General features: G+C 45.3%; 1 long non-coding RNA gene across 1 annotated transcript; it reads left to right on the forward strand.

Annotated features, from left to right (window-relative positions):
* The first annotated feature begins 6,422 nt into the window (after positions 1 to 6,422).
* Positions 6,423 to 15,121, forward strand: LOC102724417 (uncharacterized). Its single transcript, XR_001753556.2, has 4 exons — positions 6,423 to 6,842; positions 9,261 to 9,332; positions 10,579 to 10,792; positions 14,581 to 15,121. It is a non-coding gene; the product is annotated as an uncharacterized LOC102724417 (long non-coding RNA).
* Positions 15,122 to 16,999: the final 1,878 nt, after the last annotated feature.

Here is a 16,999-nt window from a genome sequence, read left to right on the forward strand (position 1 = left end):
AAGGCACACAATATTCTGATTTTCTAAACTTTGAATGCATAAAAGTGACCTGTGTAGCTTATTCAAATGCAGACTCCTTGGTCCCGCCCTAGAGTTTCCACTTTAATACTATCCTGTATGATTAGAGGAAGTAGAGCAGAGTGGGCTTTGGCACAAGGCTCCCTGGGTTCAAATCCCTCCTCTGGCACCTACAAATTAATTACATGATCTTGGGGAAGTTATCTAACCTCCCTGTGCCTCGGTTTCTTCATCTGTGAGATGGGGGTAACATTACCGGTTGTCTTATATTACAGTGAAGATTAAGTTAGGTAATATGGCTAAAAGACATGGCACTTAGCAGACACTTAGTAAGTGCTACCCATTAGTATTCTGATGCAGGATTTCTAAAAACCATGAGTCTGGGAACTTCCTAAAGGAATGGCCCAGGACAACCCTTTTCTCTGGTGTCCCAAGTGAGTACCCTTTTATGGGACTTCTTGAGACAATGTCCTCAACCCTTGTGGTGCCTACGGGGGAATTCCAATCATGGAAACTTTGATTGTGGAGGCATAGTTGAGACCAGCAGTACATCATGATGACTCTTAAATCATATGTATGCTGCAGGCTTCTGCTCACCCATGCAAAGGTTTGTCCCTGGTAGAAGACCTCCATGAGCAAACTTCATTTGGGAGCCATCTCTGGCTGTCAGATGGGCAGCAATCCAGAGAGGTGCCTGGTTCTTGGTGCCCTGAGGCTGAGTCAGGCAGGATCTGTCTCAGTGGAAACGTTTCACTTATTGCTCTTGCCCTGTGCCAAATGCCTCATTTTGCCCCTTGTTAATCATCAGATATTAGCGTCCATAAGAGTCATATTTACCAGGAGAGAGGTTTTCTTCTTCTTCTTTTTAAATGTCTTTGAATAATTCATGTCCAATTTAGAAGGATTAAATATGGTGTGTTCTCCCACTCCAGCAAGAGCTGGAGGTGAAAATCTGGTTTCTCAGACTGCAGAGGCCAGGCTGCTGGGAACCCTCCCGGATTCAGCCTCTCTTCACTGCTGAGAACTGTTCGACTCAAGGCCTGCTGGCCTATTTTTCCCTGTTGTCTCACTTGCCTGTACTGGCTCTCCAGTTTTTCTAACTCTTCAAGACCCACTCCTGCCACCTTCTACAGAACCCTTAGCAAGCCATCCTCCCACACCTGCAGAGACAGGGAGCCTAGGCCATGGGAAGGCAGACTGGATCTTCTTTGGGAAGTGCAGGGTCTGGAGCTGGGAGGGCTGCCCATTCCCTGGGCGAGGAGACTGCTGCCACATATGTTCTGCTGTGGGCCCAGAAGGAGCTAAGGGACAATGCAGAGCAGGCTCCTCTGACCAGTCTGCCTACCTGTGCTCAAATTCTGGCTCTACAGCTCCTTGCAGGTGGTGACCTTAGCCAATAACTTCATTTCTCTATTGCTTCAGCATCCCGATCCATACAGGAGGATTGATAACAAGCCCTTCTCATAGTGCTGTCCTGAGGATAAAGGTGAAAACACAGGAAATATAGAAACATAGCAACGTTGAAAACATAAATAGAAACCACTTAGAACAGGGTCTGTCTGACATTTGATAATCTCTCAATTAACATTAGTGGTTATTATTATGCATCCCTTAGATCAGAATTTGAAGTTTATAATGAGGTATAGGTTTTATTGTATTTTATTTGTTCAATTAAAAATTAATTTTAATTACAAAGGAATTCATGAATACATTCTCCTTGTAAAAAATTAAAACATTACAGTGGAAACTAAATATCATTTGACTACCTGCATTGCCAAGCTCCCTAGCAGTTATTCATTTTCAGTTTGGTATGCCGCTTTCTACAATTTTTAAAAAGGCATATATATGTATATATATATGTACTTGTAAAAATCATACAATATATAAGTGTCTATTATAAATGATATCACACATGTATGCATTTTTTACTCAACATTGTGTCTTAGAGATTATTTTATTTTAGAACATAGAGATATGCTGTATTCATTTTAACAGCTTTATGCTATTCCGCATTATAAGGATACCACGTTTAATTTAGCCATTGTTTAAAATTTCACCAATACTGCCATAAATATCCTTGTAGGTGTCTTAATATATGAATATATCTTAAAGGTTTCTCAAGGATTTTCATTTTGCTCATTTTTTAAAGTGGTTGTACAACACAGCTTCCCCATCCATTTACACTACCAAATTTAATTTTGCCAATCTAAGCAGTGTCAAAGAATATGCAATTTTATTGATGTTTTAATTTGAATTTTCCTTATTCCTTAATCCTAATAAAGTTAAGCCTCTATATATTTATTGCCTACTGGTATTTTTTCTTTTGCGAATGACCTGTTTGGTTTGCTGCCTGTTGTTTTATTGAGTTAACTTTCTTTTTCTCACTTATTTTTTGAAGTTTTAAAAATATATAATTTGGACAGTAATCTGTGTTATATTTGGTGACATTAATTTCTTCCATCCATTGTTTGTTTTTTGTCCTATACATGTGCTTAATTTTGATTTAGCCCATTTATATTACCCTGTTCCTTGATGACTTTTGCTTTTATATCCTATTTATAAGAAGACTCTCCTTATCTTCAACATCATAAAAACATTTTTCAATATTCTCTTCTATTTTTAAAAAGTATTAAGTCTTTCATCCATCTGGGCCTTATTTTAGTAAATGATGTAAAGTAAGATCTAATTTTATGCACTAGTCATTGAGCTAAGAGCTTTATGTGCATGATCTCAGTCACTCACACTATCCGAAAAGTTTGGCACACTCACATCCATCTTCCGGATGAGGAAACATACTGAGAGAGATGCAGTCATTTGCCTCAAGGTCCCAAAGGTCAACATAGAGTGGTCATCTGAAATGACATCCACCGCTGAGATGACCCAGGTTTGTGTGTGCCCAAATGCCTCTTCTGGAGTTCCCTGCAGGTTGAACATGGACTGATCACAATAAGAAGAGGAATTTGGACCAAGTAGGGAAGATCCTCTCTCATGTAGGAACGGAAATTACTGAGCATCACTGAAGACCAGGGAGACAAGCTCTAAAGCAGGCAGCTGACCTCTGAAAAGGACAAAGAATCCCACAGTCTCAGCACCACGACTCACATGTATCAGCTTTGGGCACCGCAACTCTAGGCTATGAAAGCTTCTTTGGGGGCATCCAACCCAGACAGGTCCTGCACCTCACTGAGTAGAACACTGGTCCAGGCTTGGCTCTTCTTTCTTTACAGCAGCAGGGGGCCATGAGGCTGTGAGCACAAGCTCTCCTTCATTACCCATTTCTGCTGGGCCCCTGACTGGGGAGGCTAAGTATGGGGTGGGGGTGTTCCAAGGGTCAACAAAAGGAGGAGGATGAAGGGAAAAGCCAGCCAGCTGAGGGGAAAAGCTCTTTCTGCTATTACCCTGCCCATCGCACAGCCCCCCACCCACTCACCTGTATGGACTAGAAGCCTGGCCCAATTGTTCCATCTTTCCCCAAAGGGCCATGAAACACACACTTAGCAATGCAGAGTGGTGGCTCCAGGCACCCTCAGCATTTACTGTAAATCACGGAGACAGGAGAGATATGAGTCCCCACCTGCAGAATCACTGAAGCAGCTACTCTGGGGATATCTTACCTGAAAATGGTTTTCCTGCTTCCTCCACAGCCCATTGGGGTTTGGGGGCCAAACACGGAGAAGCTATTCCCTGGGGCAGCATTCTCGAGTCCTGGAAAAGTGTTTTTGATATGATCCTGACATCAAGACCCTCTTAAATGCTGGCATTTTCTGACCTTCCTTAGAACTATTTTCCCCTGAAACCGTGCACTCCATGCCCGCCCTCATGTCCTGTGGTTTTTTTATGTTCAGCCCTGATTATATGTGTTTATTATCTTCTTCCCACTAATAGACATTAAGCTCCTTAAGGGAAGGACTGGCCTTCTTTGTGGGAGATCAGTACATTCTATTTAATTTCTTTTTAAAAAGGTACAAGGAAAAAATTCAATCTTCTTTTTCCTAATAGACCTTTTCTCTAAATCAGCTGCTTTCTTTCCTCTGCTCAGAACAGAATGCAGTCATTCCCCTATCTAAGCCTTTATTCAGGCCATTCTCCGCTTTCTTCTCAGTCTGAGCTGATGTTTAGACTCTCAGATGTGTTGCTCAAGCTGCTCTTGATATGTTCATTTTAACAGCATGTCGTATTCTATATAATGGGAGGAAAAAGAAGAAGTGGCTTTTTCTGCGGGGCTTCCCCTGAGTCTCCCCCTTGGCCCTAGAGCTGACCTTGTGTGTCCCAGCCATGGAAGAGGCTGTGCACAGCAGCTCAGCAGGCTTGTGCTCCAGACCAGCCAGTCCTGCCCTCTGCTCTTCATACCCAATCCCATCATCATCAGGTGGGTGATGCCCTCCAGACGCCCCCACTCAAGCACAGATGCTGCTTGGAAGGCATGGGGAGGCTCACTGGGCCCAGGCTGTCAGCATATCAACCCACATCAGTTAATCAGACTAACTTTTGTATTCTGTTGGCTCTGTCACCTCGTGGTGGGCAGTTTCCTACCCAGAGCCCCCAGCTTTCCTTTCTTGAGCCCAAATTCACATGGTAGAGCTTGTCCCCATGCAATTTGGATTTAGCAGACATCTCTATTGGTGGATTAGTGGGAGAAAGGCAACATTCCCTTTACCAAAAAGTACTGAATTTAAAAAGATTAAAACATGATTTCCCTCCCTCCACCTGCCTTCAGTGAAGATGTCTTCCCCTTAGATAAATGTCGGGCTTATTGATTATTGGATTATACATGTTGGTTTCTTGAGGTCATTAGGCAAGGACACACGTGGATGCCCTTTGTAGGGTGCCATAATTTCCAGTGTTGACTGCAGAGAAGTGGATTCTCTGCGGGAAAGGGGAACCTTGAGTGGGCTGGGCCTCTCTTGCCTTGCTCCCTTGGCTGTGGAGCTTGTGAGGGTCCCAGTGAACTTGAATTAGGCCCCATGTGGTGGGCTCTGTTGCCTCACACCAACATCCTGTTTTGTCAGGCTATCCCGGTGGTGCCCAACCTCTTAGCTTATTTTGCTTATTTTACCCCTGAGTCTGGTTATGTTTCAGTTTGGGCAGAATGCAGGTAAGACGTGTGTGTGCCCAGCCTGGCTGTGAATGTGGTAGTGAGTGAGAGTCTCCTCAGGACAGCCTGGCTCAGTGGCAGGTGCAGGTGGCCAAGGGCCAGCTTCTCCCTGTCCCTTGTGGGCAGAGTCTTCAGCATTGCCAACCCTGAGCGATGTGGGTTTATGTCAGAGGGAGAGGTGGTTTCCTTGTCAATTCCCTACAGGATTGCTTTAGGCAGAGGTCTTCATTGCTGCAGTTAGAGTCCATTTATTTTCCGCACCTACACGAATGATCGTATGGGAAAATGTGGCATAGGGTGTAGTTTTACAACAGGGCAGATAGAGACAAACTCTGCTGGTAGAATGGAGGGAGATTTCAGGGGTTTGGGAGGTTTGAGAGTGAGTCAGAACTTGCCGAGGACAGAACAGGAAGAGCATGTGATCTTTGAGGGCATGTTTTGTCCCCAGAAGAGAGCTGAGCCAGTAAAAGGGTGGGGGCATCTGGGAAACAGATGGGAGGTGGGGGTGGGGGGAGTGAAAGGCCATCAGGCTTTAGTGACACACAAAACCTTGAGTGTGACCAGGAATTTGGATTTCTGTCTATAATAGGGAGCACCCTTCTGAAGGCAGTATAGGTTGGTTTGATTTAGAAAACTCACTTAGGAGGCTGGAGTGATTCATCACTCCAGCTGGATTGCATTTTTCCAGGAAGAAGGCCTCCTTGAGAAGAAGATGGGTGAGTGAAGGCAACAAGCAATTGACATGGATCGAACATCTACACCGGGTAGCTTTGTGTGCGGCTCTCTCGGGGCTTGTGGCTGTCTATAGAGAAGCCCAGCAAGTGAAGGGTTTTCTAAATCAAACCAACTTATACTGCCTTCAGAAGGGCGCTCCCTTTTATAGACAGAAATCCAGACAGAATTCTGGCATAAAGAGGAGTTTGGCTGCACAGCAATGACTTCTTCAGTAGCCTTTTGTTCCTTGTTGAGGGAGGGTCTGTGGTCACTGAGGGCCAAGGGCCATAGCGCTCAGGTTTTGGAAATGGCCCCTTGAAGAAGCCTGTGGGAAGTGAATTGCAGCTGTGATTCAAGTCAGGTCAACCAGAAGTTTCAGAGTTCATGGTGAGCCCAGGACACCCTCTTTCCTGGGGGTCAGCTGAGGCAGTAGAGACTGCACATCTGCACTGGGGGACCCGTCCTCTGTGCAGGGGAAACAGCCCAAATACCAAGGACTTTTAATAGGATGGCAGTGTTGCTTAGACTCCCAGGCAGTGCTGTCTAGGTGGGGAATGGGCTAGGACAGGGATAGGTGAGATTTGAAGAGGTAGAGAGCACAAAATGCAGGCATCCCTCAAAAGAAACACATCCAAATGGTTTTGCAAGTACCATTAGCTAACGTGGTTGAGTGTCTTTATGTGTAGAATTACGTAAGGAGTATGGAAGGCAGGTCAAGACCAAAGTGAAATGGTGCGCCTGCTTTCTTGGGGTCCACTTGCCATGGAAGACACGTTCACTCATTCGTTCATCCCACAAATACTGAAATCTCACCATGAGCTGGCTCTGCACTAGATGTGGGGACATGACCCTAAAAGGGAGGGAGGCATAGCAAACTAGTATAGTGAAAGGGATAATCTGTATTGGTTTGAAAGGGATAAACTCTCTAAATAATGCCTGTGAGGTCTTAGGAGGCTGGAGTGATGAAACTGGATTGCATTTTTCCAGGAAGAAGACCTCCTTGAGAAGAAAACGGGTGAGTGAAGGCAACAAGCAATTGACATGGATCGAGCATCTACACTGGGTAGCTTTGTGTGCGGCTCCCTGGGGGCATGTGGCTGTCTGTAGGGGACCCCAGCAAGCGAAGGGATACTTGTCATACACCATGATGAGAGTGACAGTCACACTTAAAATAGTGCTGGGAAGAAGGGAGGAGGGAAGGAGGGAGAGTAAAAGGAAGGAAGGACTCGTTAAGAGACCATCGGTTCTGTGTGTGTGTGTGTGTGTGTGTGTGTGTGTGTGTGTGTGTGTTATAGGGAGGGGCAGCCTCAGGAGACCCGGAGGGACCCTGTGCTTCTGTTAGTCTCCGTGATGTTGACGCTGAAGCCATGAACACACAAAGATCACAGACGGAAGGAAGAAGAGCTCCGGCTCTAGTTCCTGTGAGGTACTGTGTGTCTCAGAAAAAGTATTAGAGAAGTAGGGAAATGGCTTTTTGATGCTGCTGCTGCATAAACAGGCTTCCCAGGTACAGGCGTATTTTAACGTGGTGTTAAAAGACAAAGAAGGAAGAGTCGAAGTGCTGTCTTTCACGCCTCTGTGTTGCCTCCTGAAAACCCATCTCATGGAAGTAGACCTAGGAAAGGAACCCACCTGGCAGCAACTCCTGGGGGCTGAGGGGCAGGTTGGAGGGGGGGAAGGCAGGAAGGACACGCTGACCACTTAGGTCTCTGGCATCACACAGGGAACTCTTGGCTAATCCTCCAGGGAAATCCCTAGAGGCTGAGGCCTGGGAAACCAGCTTCCTAAAGGGTACCCTGTACCTCAGGTTCTGATTTTTCATTCAGTTTACATAGCCTGTTTGCAGAGCCATCTTAAATATCCTTGCAGTGCATCTGGTGTCAAAGCTTAGGGCTGCCAGCAAGGTCTCCCTGCTCCGTGCCTCTGCCCATCATTCTGTCTTGGCTCGGTGAAAGGCTGCCCGAGGTATTTTTCTTGCTTGGCTTAAACATTATATCATTTGGGTTAAACATCACCCTCTTTGGCACCCTCCTTAAGTCTAATTTATGCATTGTTTTTTTCTGGGAAGGCTTCTAGAACTACCGTACCTTCTGCCTTGGGGCTCCCAGGGCTCTATGGGAAACATGATTACTGCACTAAACAGGCAGTCCTATAGGGGTGTGCTACTGAAATGCTGCAGCCTGAGCCCCTCATCCCTCCACGTATATTATAGTTTCTCTGCCAAGGCAACCAGTGCATGTGCCCACCCTGCCTGTGGGCTGTGAAGGCTGGCATGGGCCCTGCTCCTCACCAGGACCCTGAGCCATCCTCAGTTGGTGCTGGCTGAAGGCCCCAGCACAGGAAACACGTTCCGATTTGTCTCCACAGAGTAACTATGCTCACTGCAACACCTTTCATTCCTAATAGGGAGGATGAAAACAAGAGTGAATGCATATAAACATATTGGATTCCTAAGAGTTGGAGTGATAGAGACAGTGAGGGAATGAATTAGAGAAGGGGCGGGGATCATCAACCTGACTGGCTTTCTAATTTTATAACCCTATTGTGCCTCCCAGGTTAGCCACAGTAAACACAATCCCCTGGTGGTGGCAAGGGCTTTATATCTAAGAACTGGAAAACTACCAAAGGGACTCTTCCCCAGAATCTCTTCCCTGGAGATCCATTCACCCCACAATCCAGAGAATGTCAGTCTTCATGGGATGCTGAGATAGCTGACTCAGTTCCCACCCCTGCCCCACACCCATCCAACCCAGAGAATTCAGTCCTGAAAAACAAAAGGATCAAGCTTTCGGGGAAATCTAACTGTACACACTGGTCACATGTCAGGGGGATGCAAAGATTCTTTTTCCTATTAATTTCCACTGTGATTTTAGAGACATTCTATAAATGCATTAGACCCCCAGCTCCTTAAGAAGGTAAGAGAATATAAGTTATTAATTGCATACCCTACATCCAGTATAGTGCTTGGCACATAGTACGTGCTCAATAAATGATTTTCGGCTGAGATGTTGTGTGTTCTTTGCTGTTTAATTTATAGTATCTTAGTGGGCTCTGGAATTAGATGAGCCCATATGTGTGCAGCAGATACTGTGGGGAGCACACTCCAGTAGATGAAAAATGTGGTGTTCAGAGGGTGTGGCTGTTCAAGCAAGCAGCCCAAGGGGGAACCACTGTGAGGAAGCTCACAATCCCCATGTGTTTGTGTGTCTTGCACTGTTCTTAGCACTCTGCATGTGTCAGCACCTTTTCTCCTCTCTGCCCACCTGGGAGGCAGGTGGTACTCATCTTTCTTTTACAGATGAGAAAGCCAAGGCAGAGTAAAGAAATGACATTCCCAGGTAACACAGCTGGTAAATGGTACAGGACCTCACCCCAGGCTAGCTGATTGGAGGGTTCATGCCCTTAACAACTTCCTTCTACTGCTTCTCTGCAGAACATGGCCCTAACAGTGGGCAGCATGAAACTGAGGAACACAGCAGGAAGCTGATTTAGGCAAACTCAGCAGGTAAGCATGGGGTTAGTCAACACAAGGGCCATCTCCGTGGCTGGCCACTGGGGTCTGGAGCAGGGAGGGTCTGGATACTAGATCGATGATCAAGACAGGGATTCATGCATGAGAGCAAGGCAAGAAGGCAATGGCCAGAATCAAGCAAGACTGCTCCCAGGGCTCAACGTCTGGTTCATAGTAAAGCTCACAGTGCTGAGTCCCAGGGTCTTATAATACACTTCTGAAATACTCCTTCTCTAAGCTCTGTGTTGGCTAAATTCTAGGGCAAGGCCGAACATCAGTCTCAGAATGTTTTCTTAAATAAGGGAATGGAAAAAAGCAGAAACCATCCAGCCTTGTCCCAATGCACAGACTTGCTCTGTTCCCTTACGGTGAATGCATTCTCTTTAGGCCCACCCTGTTTTTTCACGCCATCCAACTGGAGCCAGTGTTTATTTCCAAGGTTGTGTTATATGATGGGGAAAAGTTCTCTGGAGGAAAATTCTGGGGCTCATTAAACAGTGGGTAGAAGAGGAGGAAAGAATGAGGGAGGGAAGTAAAGAGAAAATTATACCAGGATGATGTTTTCTTTTCCTGTAGGAAAGAATCTAAAATAATTGCATCTCTTGTTTAGAGCATTTTTATTTTTCACACTTCATTCCTGTTGATGCAAAGGAATGAGTTACGAGATTGCATTCTTAGGGGGAAACTCTCCCCAGGAAATACATTGCTGTGTCCACAGGACTTTTTAGGTCATTGAGGGAATGGGTTGGAAACCACTATTTATTTACAGTGGAAGATGATTGACTAGAAGTTCCTTCCATTCCCCTTTGCTTTTAAAACACTTTGTGTTTATATATTTATTTGGACAAATTGATTGGCCTCCTTTTGAGTGTAACTGAGAAACCTAGGAATGCTTGTTTAAGATTGCTCAGTGCAAACGCAGGCTGGGGAATACTCCCTGATTATTTGCTGGGGGACTTATGGTGAAATAAGAAAGGGAATAGTGGCCAATACTGTTAAGCAGGCAGCTTTTGCAGGCAACAGGCCTTCTACAAGTCCAGCTTTTTCTTTGAAGTGACTAATGCCTTAATTCTCTCTTAACAACCATTAATCAAACTAACCCATAGGACACAACTTCAATAGCAAATTGAGCCTAAAGTATAAACAGCATATAATGGCTTTGTTTTCCCATCTCTTTGGCATTGGCATTTTAGCAGAGTCCTTGACTAATACAAGTATGTCCTGGATGGTTGAATTTCAGGAACTGGCCAGAGGCTGGTAGGAGGATTATTATGGGCAGGCTGGCTTTCCTCAACTCTTAATAACACCACCACTCCACACAGAAAAGAACTTCTCTTATGACTGCCCTCTTTTCCTCATAAATCCCTCAATGAGTTTTCTGAGAATGGGCCCAATGGGCTGGCTGTTCTGGAAGGACTTTAATCAGCTTTCTTCATGATGGACTGGAGGGAAAGGTGAGAGAATGCCAGGGGAACAGTTCTGCAGTTGCTTTCACTGATTTTTCACAGGGGTGAAAGTTTCCTGAGCTCTATCCTGTGATATCAGCATTTGAGCTGGGAGACTTTGAGAGTGTTATGAACTTTGGTTTCTGGGAGAAGTGAAAGAATAAACTGGGGAGAGAAATTGAGAGAAAGAAGAGGGGTTTGGAGTTGAGGACTCTGTTAGTTTGCTAGGGCTGCCGTAACAAATACCACAGAATGGGTGGTTTAAACAAAATAAATGTATTTTTTCACCATTCTGGAGTCTGGAAGTTGGAGATCAAGGAGTTGGCAGGTTGATTTCTTCTGAGGCCTCTCTCCTTGGCTTGTAGATGGCCATCTTCTGTCTGTGTCTGCACATGGTCATCCTTCTCTACATAACTATGTCCTCTTCTTATAAGGACACCCATCACATTGGATTAGGGCCCACCCTAACGACCTCATTTTTACTTAATTAAAAGTTCCATCTCCAAATACAGACACATTTCAAGGTACTTGAATGGGGTAAGGACTTCAACATACAAAATTTGTGAGGATACAATTGAGACATAACAAGGAGTGAATTTGGGGAAGCTTCTGCAACCAGAAGTTACGTACGTCCTTCTATTCGTAGAGGAGCCAGCTCTTGGCTACAGAGCATAGACACTAGAAATCCAGTACCATAGACATTATAAATCACCTAGGAGAGGTTCTAAGGCCCATATATTTTCCATTGGTTTTCCAACTTGGCTGCTTATTAAAATTACGAGGAAGTTTTTAAAAACACTGATGCCTAGACACTCACCCTTTGAGACCCTGATTCAATTGGTGTGAGGTGGGGACCAGAGTTAGTAATTTTTAAAAACTTTTCAGGAGATTTTAATGTGCCACCAGCATAAAAGAAACTAGAGGCTAGAGAGGCTTGATGACTTGTCCAACATCAGAAAACATGTGTAGACTAGTGCACAGGGCTCCTGGCTTGGGTTCTGTGGCTCTTCTGCTAGTACATTTCTTTCCATTTCTGAAATACTGTTATTCCATCAAGTTTCCTGTGATGGATGTCCTGGTGCCCCAGACCCCCTGTCCAGCACTGAAGCACTCCTTCCCCCTACTGCTGGGGGCGTTGGTACACTGGTCCACTATGTAGAGACTGCTGGATGAAGAAGTATGAAGACAGGATAATTCTGAATGGCCCTTTCACCTCCAGAGCTTCCTATAGTCACTGCATTGCAATTCAACTGCTCCATTTGCCCAATCCTCCTTCTCCCACTCCTGTCAAGGGAACTTGTAGATTCCAAAAAACACCTTCCAACAAATCCCTGCTGCCAGTTTTAATCTCAGAGTCTGCTTTCTGGGGAACCTGATCCATAAAATTTCTTCCTGGTTCATAATTCTTTTGTGAGTATTTAAGAGTGCTTGCCATGTTGGGTTCTGTGCCAGGTGCTTGGAATATGAAGAGAAATAAAACCCAGTTTCTACTTAAGTGGTTTGCCATCTACCAGAGGTGCTGGTCAACAGCCACCTCCAGTGCCCTGTCTGAGCTGCTGTAATAGCAATGTAAAAGTGGTATGGGAGCACTGAAGAGGGAGATGCTGATGTCCTGGCCAAAGAGGTCAGCCAAGGCCATTGTGGTCTATACATTCTAACTGTTCTTAGCTGTCTGTTTAGGAGGCTGAACCCCTTCTTGAAACAACAGTTGCTCTTGCTTGCCCCTACAAACTTGTATGTACCAGATAGTCTTTATTTCACTTTAGGTGGGCTGTAGGAGAGAAAGTGGTGAGTAGAGGAGAGACAATAAAGAAAAGAAAAAAGTGCAAGAACCAAGGTATATAGGACATCATGATGGTTAATTTTAGATGTCAACTTGACTGGGTTAAGGCATACTCAGATAGATGGCAAAACATTATTTATCAGGATGCTTGTGAGGTTGTTTCTGGAACAACCTTGCATTTTAATCAGTGGATTGAGTAAAGAAAATTTGCCCTCATCAATGTGAGCAGGCATTATCTATTTCACTGAGGGCCCGAGAGAACAAAAAGGCAGAGGAAAGGTGGATTTGCTGTCGCTGTTTGAGCTGGGACATCCATCTTCTTCTGTCCTTGGACATTAGAACTCCATGTTCTTGGGCCTTTGGGATTTGGGAATTATACTGGTGGCCCCCAGTTTCTCAGGCCTTTGGCTTCACATGAATTATACCACCGGGTTTCCTGGTTTTCCAGCTTGCCAACAGCATATCATGGGACTTCTCTGACTCAACAATCACATGAGCCAATTCTCATAATAAATACACTCTATCTATCTATCTATCTATCTATCTATCTATCTATCCATCCATCTATCGATCTGTCTATTATCTATCTATCTATCTATCTATCTATCTATCTATCTATCTATCTATCTATCTATCTATCGTCTATACCATCTATCTATCTATCCATCTACCCACTCATCCTTTCATCCATTCCATTGGTTATGTTTCTCTGGCAAACCTTGAGTAATACAGATACAGTTCGAGAGTTCAGTTTGGGCCTCTCATCTGTGACTCACCCTTCCTTCCCTGGAGGCTTTTCACCATCGCTGTCACCAAGACCAGGCACCCAGAGATCTCACATTCAGCCCCTCCCACGAAGAAGCTCCAGGATGAGAGCTGACCTGTTAGGGAGATAATATCAAAGTCCATGTGACACCCTCCAAGGGAGACTTTCCCTCTGTGTCTTAAGTGGTAGAAGAGAAAACAGTCTTCAACCAGAAGGTGGGTGAGATTTAGGAGCCTCCAGTGGGTCCTCCTGATGCTTCTGACACTGGACCTATGTGGGCCGATGTGCACAGATGAGGTTATGCAGTCCTGCACCTCCAGACCTGGTGATGGAGAACAAGTAGGTATGGGTCTTTGTGACAACTGCCCCGCTGTGTGCACTGGCTGAAAAGAGGATGGCCAGTACACCAGTACTTAGGAGGAAGGAGGCCCATAACTCCACTAATCTCAAATAGTCCCATGACGCCTGCAGAGCATCCCCTGTGGGCCAAGCCCTGGTGTGGGCCAGACAGAGGGTGCCAGTGAAATAGAAGTGAAGGCCTCAGCCTTCGAGCAGCCTCCAGCTCAAGTGGGTTGACAGGCACATCATCACCAGGTGTCTGAAGTCTGGTGGAAGACAAACAATCTGCACCCTGGGGAGCCTCAGGCCTCCTGGCCTAATTTGAGAAATGTGGTTTCTGCCACAGGCCAGTATTTAGGACAAACATACATGTTTAAAAGACCCATGAAGAGACACAAATAAGACATTAACATGTGCAAATGGTTACAGCTGGGTAGCTAGTGTCAGTAGACAGGACAGAGAGACAGAACTGAGAGCAGGATGTCCCAAACACATGGAGTCAGCCCATCACCCCTCAGCAAAATCAGGTGATGATGAGGGCGGGGGTGCGGGGGGAGCTCCAGGCAGCAGGAGGTACATTGTAGATAAAGCATTAGTTATTAGAAAACCCAGTGTCCTCCCTAATTGTAGGTAGTGAATGCTGTACAATACTGAAAGTGAATACTGTGCAACTGTATGCATATATATGTGAAAGTATGAAAATTACCAAGGGGACATATTTGAGGGACCTCTAACAGCATCACTCAGGTGTTTTGTATGCATGAGTTTATGATATGTGAGCATAATTGTGTGTAGAATGTGTGCATGTTTGTGTGTGTGTGCTTACACTTGTGGGGGCTTCCTTTCTGTTGGGGGAGGCTGAATATGCCCATGCACTAATCATCTAATCTGCTCTCTTTCTTATTCCAGGAAGTGTTCCCTGTGAACCCATGAGACTTCATCCCTGCGTTGGTCTGGCTGGCTTTCCCTGTGAGATACAGGTTCCTCCTGAAGAGCTGAAGCTCCATTCCAGCTCTAGACTTCTCCTTGCTTTCAGACTTCAAGATGAGAAGCATTTTTCCAGTCCACAAGTGTTAGAGGACACTGCCGATGATGTGTGTTTTGCCCAGGCTGGACTCAGCTTCTTTGTCTCGGTAAAGGTTAAGTTTTCTTCAATATAAGAGGAATCTAGAGAAACTGAGACCATTAAGCAAATTTTTAGAAGTAGATGAGAAGGAAAGTTGGAAAACAAAGTACCCTTGCTTACAGAGAAACTAGGAGATCACCTTAATTAAGAAAGCACCTTAATTTGGGGCAGAGAGGGGTTTATAGAAAGTTGGTTGGAGAGAGTGGAGCTTGACGTAGAGCTAATTTCCTGAATTCTTGGGTTAAAGACTCCCCATGGCATCCCTCCCAAAAGCAGACAGCAGTAAAAGGAGCAGGTTTGAGCCAGGGAAGCTGATGGTCTGGCTGCATAGTGGGCAAAGTACCCTGGGGCCTGGACAGCCTGCTGCATGGCCCTTTGCTGATGGGCCTGGAGGAGGGAGAAAGCAACAGCCCTAGGTGCCCAGGCCCGACTCCCAGGGCATTTAAGGTATCTGAAGCGCAGGCAGGACAAGGGGTGTAGAAGATGCAGTCAGCTTTGGTTTCCTCCTGCCTTCACACAGCCCTGGCTTTGTCTGTCACTTGGGGCACCCAACACAAGGGCAGTGATCCTAGTAACTATCACCTGCCTCTTCCTCTTCCTGTCCGCAGATCCTCACTGCCTGGGCCCCACTCCAAGGCCTTGCTCACACCTTTACATCCACCCAGAATGCACTTCACTGCTCTACACTGATCTAAACACCACCCAGTCTCCAAGGCTTGGTTTGAATACCACTTACTCCAGGAAGCCTTTCATGATTTCTTTAGTTCCCCAGTTCTCTTGGATTCTGGACTCTTCTAATTTTTCTCCTGCTTTACTGCCCTTGTCTCACTCACTCTTCCTCCCACCCACCCGAATGTTGGAATACCTAGAGCATCGTGCTCGGCTCTCTTTTTTCCTTTACAAACACTTTCTGTTTTCAGGGAAATTTCTTCACCTTGTGGTTTTAATTACTAACCTTATATCAATAACTCCAAAATTATTCAAGTGTGTACACCTGGCCTGTTCCATGATCTTGAGACTCAGGTACCCAATTGTTTTCTCTTCACCTCTACTTTTTCATCTAATAGGAATCCCAACCCTCAAACATCCCCAAAGGAGGCTCTGCTTCCTTCTGTAACTTCTCTTTTACAAGTCTCAGTCAATGGCACCACCACCACCATATACCTAGTTGCTCAAGCCAAGCAGAAGCCTAATTCTAATCTATCTCACTCTTCTATTCCCTGGATATCTTTCATTGACAAATCCTACTGACTTTGCTTAAAAACATATTCTTCATTCTTCTAAATTGTTCTCTCTCAACCCAGGGCAGGCCACAATCTTCACAATCAGGAATATTGCAAAATCTTCTTTTCACTCATCCCCTTGCCTTCACCTGTTACCTAAATCTACTCTTCACAAAGTCAAATGGTATTTTTAGGACATAAATGAAACCATGCACTCCTCTGCTCAAAACCCGCCAGGGTCTTTCTATCATGCTGAGGATAAGATGCAAATTTCTTACCCTAGCCCACATAGTTGAGTTTCCTGGGGTCTGGCCCTTGCCAGATTCTCTGATGTCATCTCTTGTTCTGCTTCTCTGTTTGCTCATCCCACTCCACCTACTGTTTCTCAGAGGCCCTGAGGTTGTCCCCACCTCGGTTCCTGGGCACTGGCTGTTTCCTTTGCCTGGGATGCTCTTGCTCTACAACTTGCTCTTGCTGGCTGCTTCCTGTCAGGCAGGTCTCAGATCAAATGTCGCTTCGACTACGAGGCCTTTTTTGACCAGGTTAAAGAAGCCCCTCACTCGCCCTCTCTCCTACACCACCCCGCTTTATTTTCTTCATAGCACTGATGACACCCTGGCACTGTGTTGCCTGTTTGTTGGGTTTATTTTTTATTGTCCATCTCCCCACACCAGCATGGAAACTCTATGAGGGCAGAAAGCCTCCCTGACTCACTCCCCAACTCTATCCCAGCCTTTAAAGTAATGCCTGGCCCAGAACAGGCACACAGCAAGTCTTTACTTAATGACTAAATAAATAAATCGGCCCCAAAGAGATGCTGTTTGATTTGGAAAGCTTTGATTTCCTTTTTGGGAAACAAGTTCTAGCTGACTACAATTTTTACTCAAAAGGATACAGTCTGTGTATTTTACCCAAGTAACATGCATTGCAGTTTCTGTCCTTTCCCTAATATTTTGATACAACTATTACTAGGTATTAT

This window comes from Homo sapiens, chromosome 18 (genome assembly GCF_000001405.40).
Source record: "Homo sapiens chromosome 18, GRCh38.p14 Primary Assembly".
Classification (NCBI taxonomy): domain Eukaryota; kingdom Metazoa; phylum Chordata; class Mammalia; order Primates; family Hominidae; genus Homo; species Homo sapiens.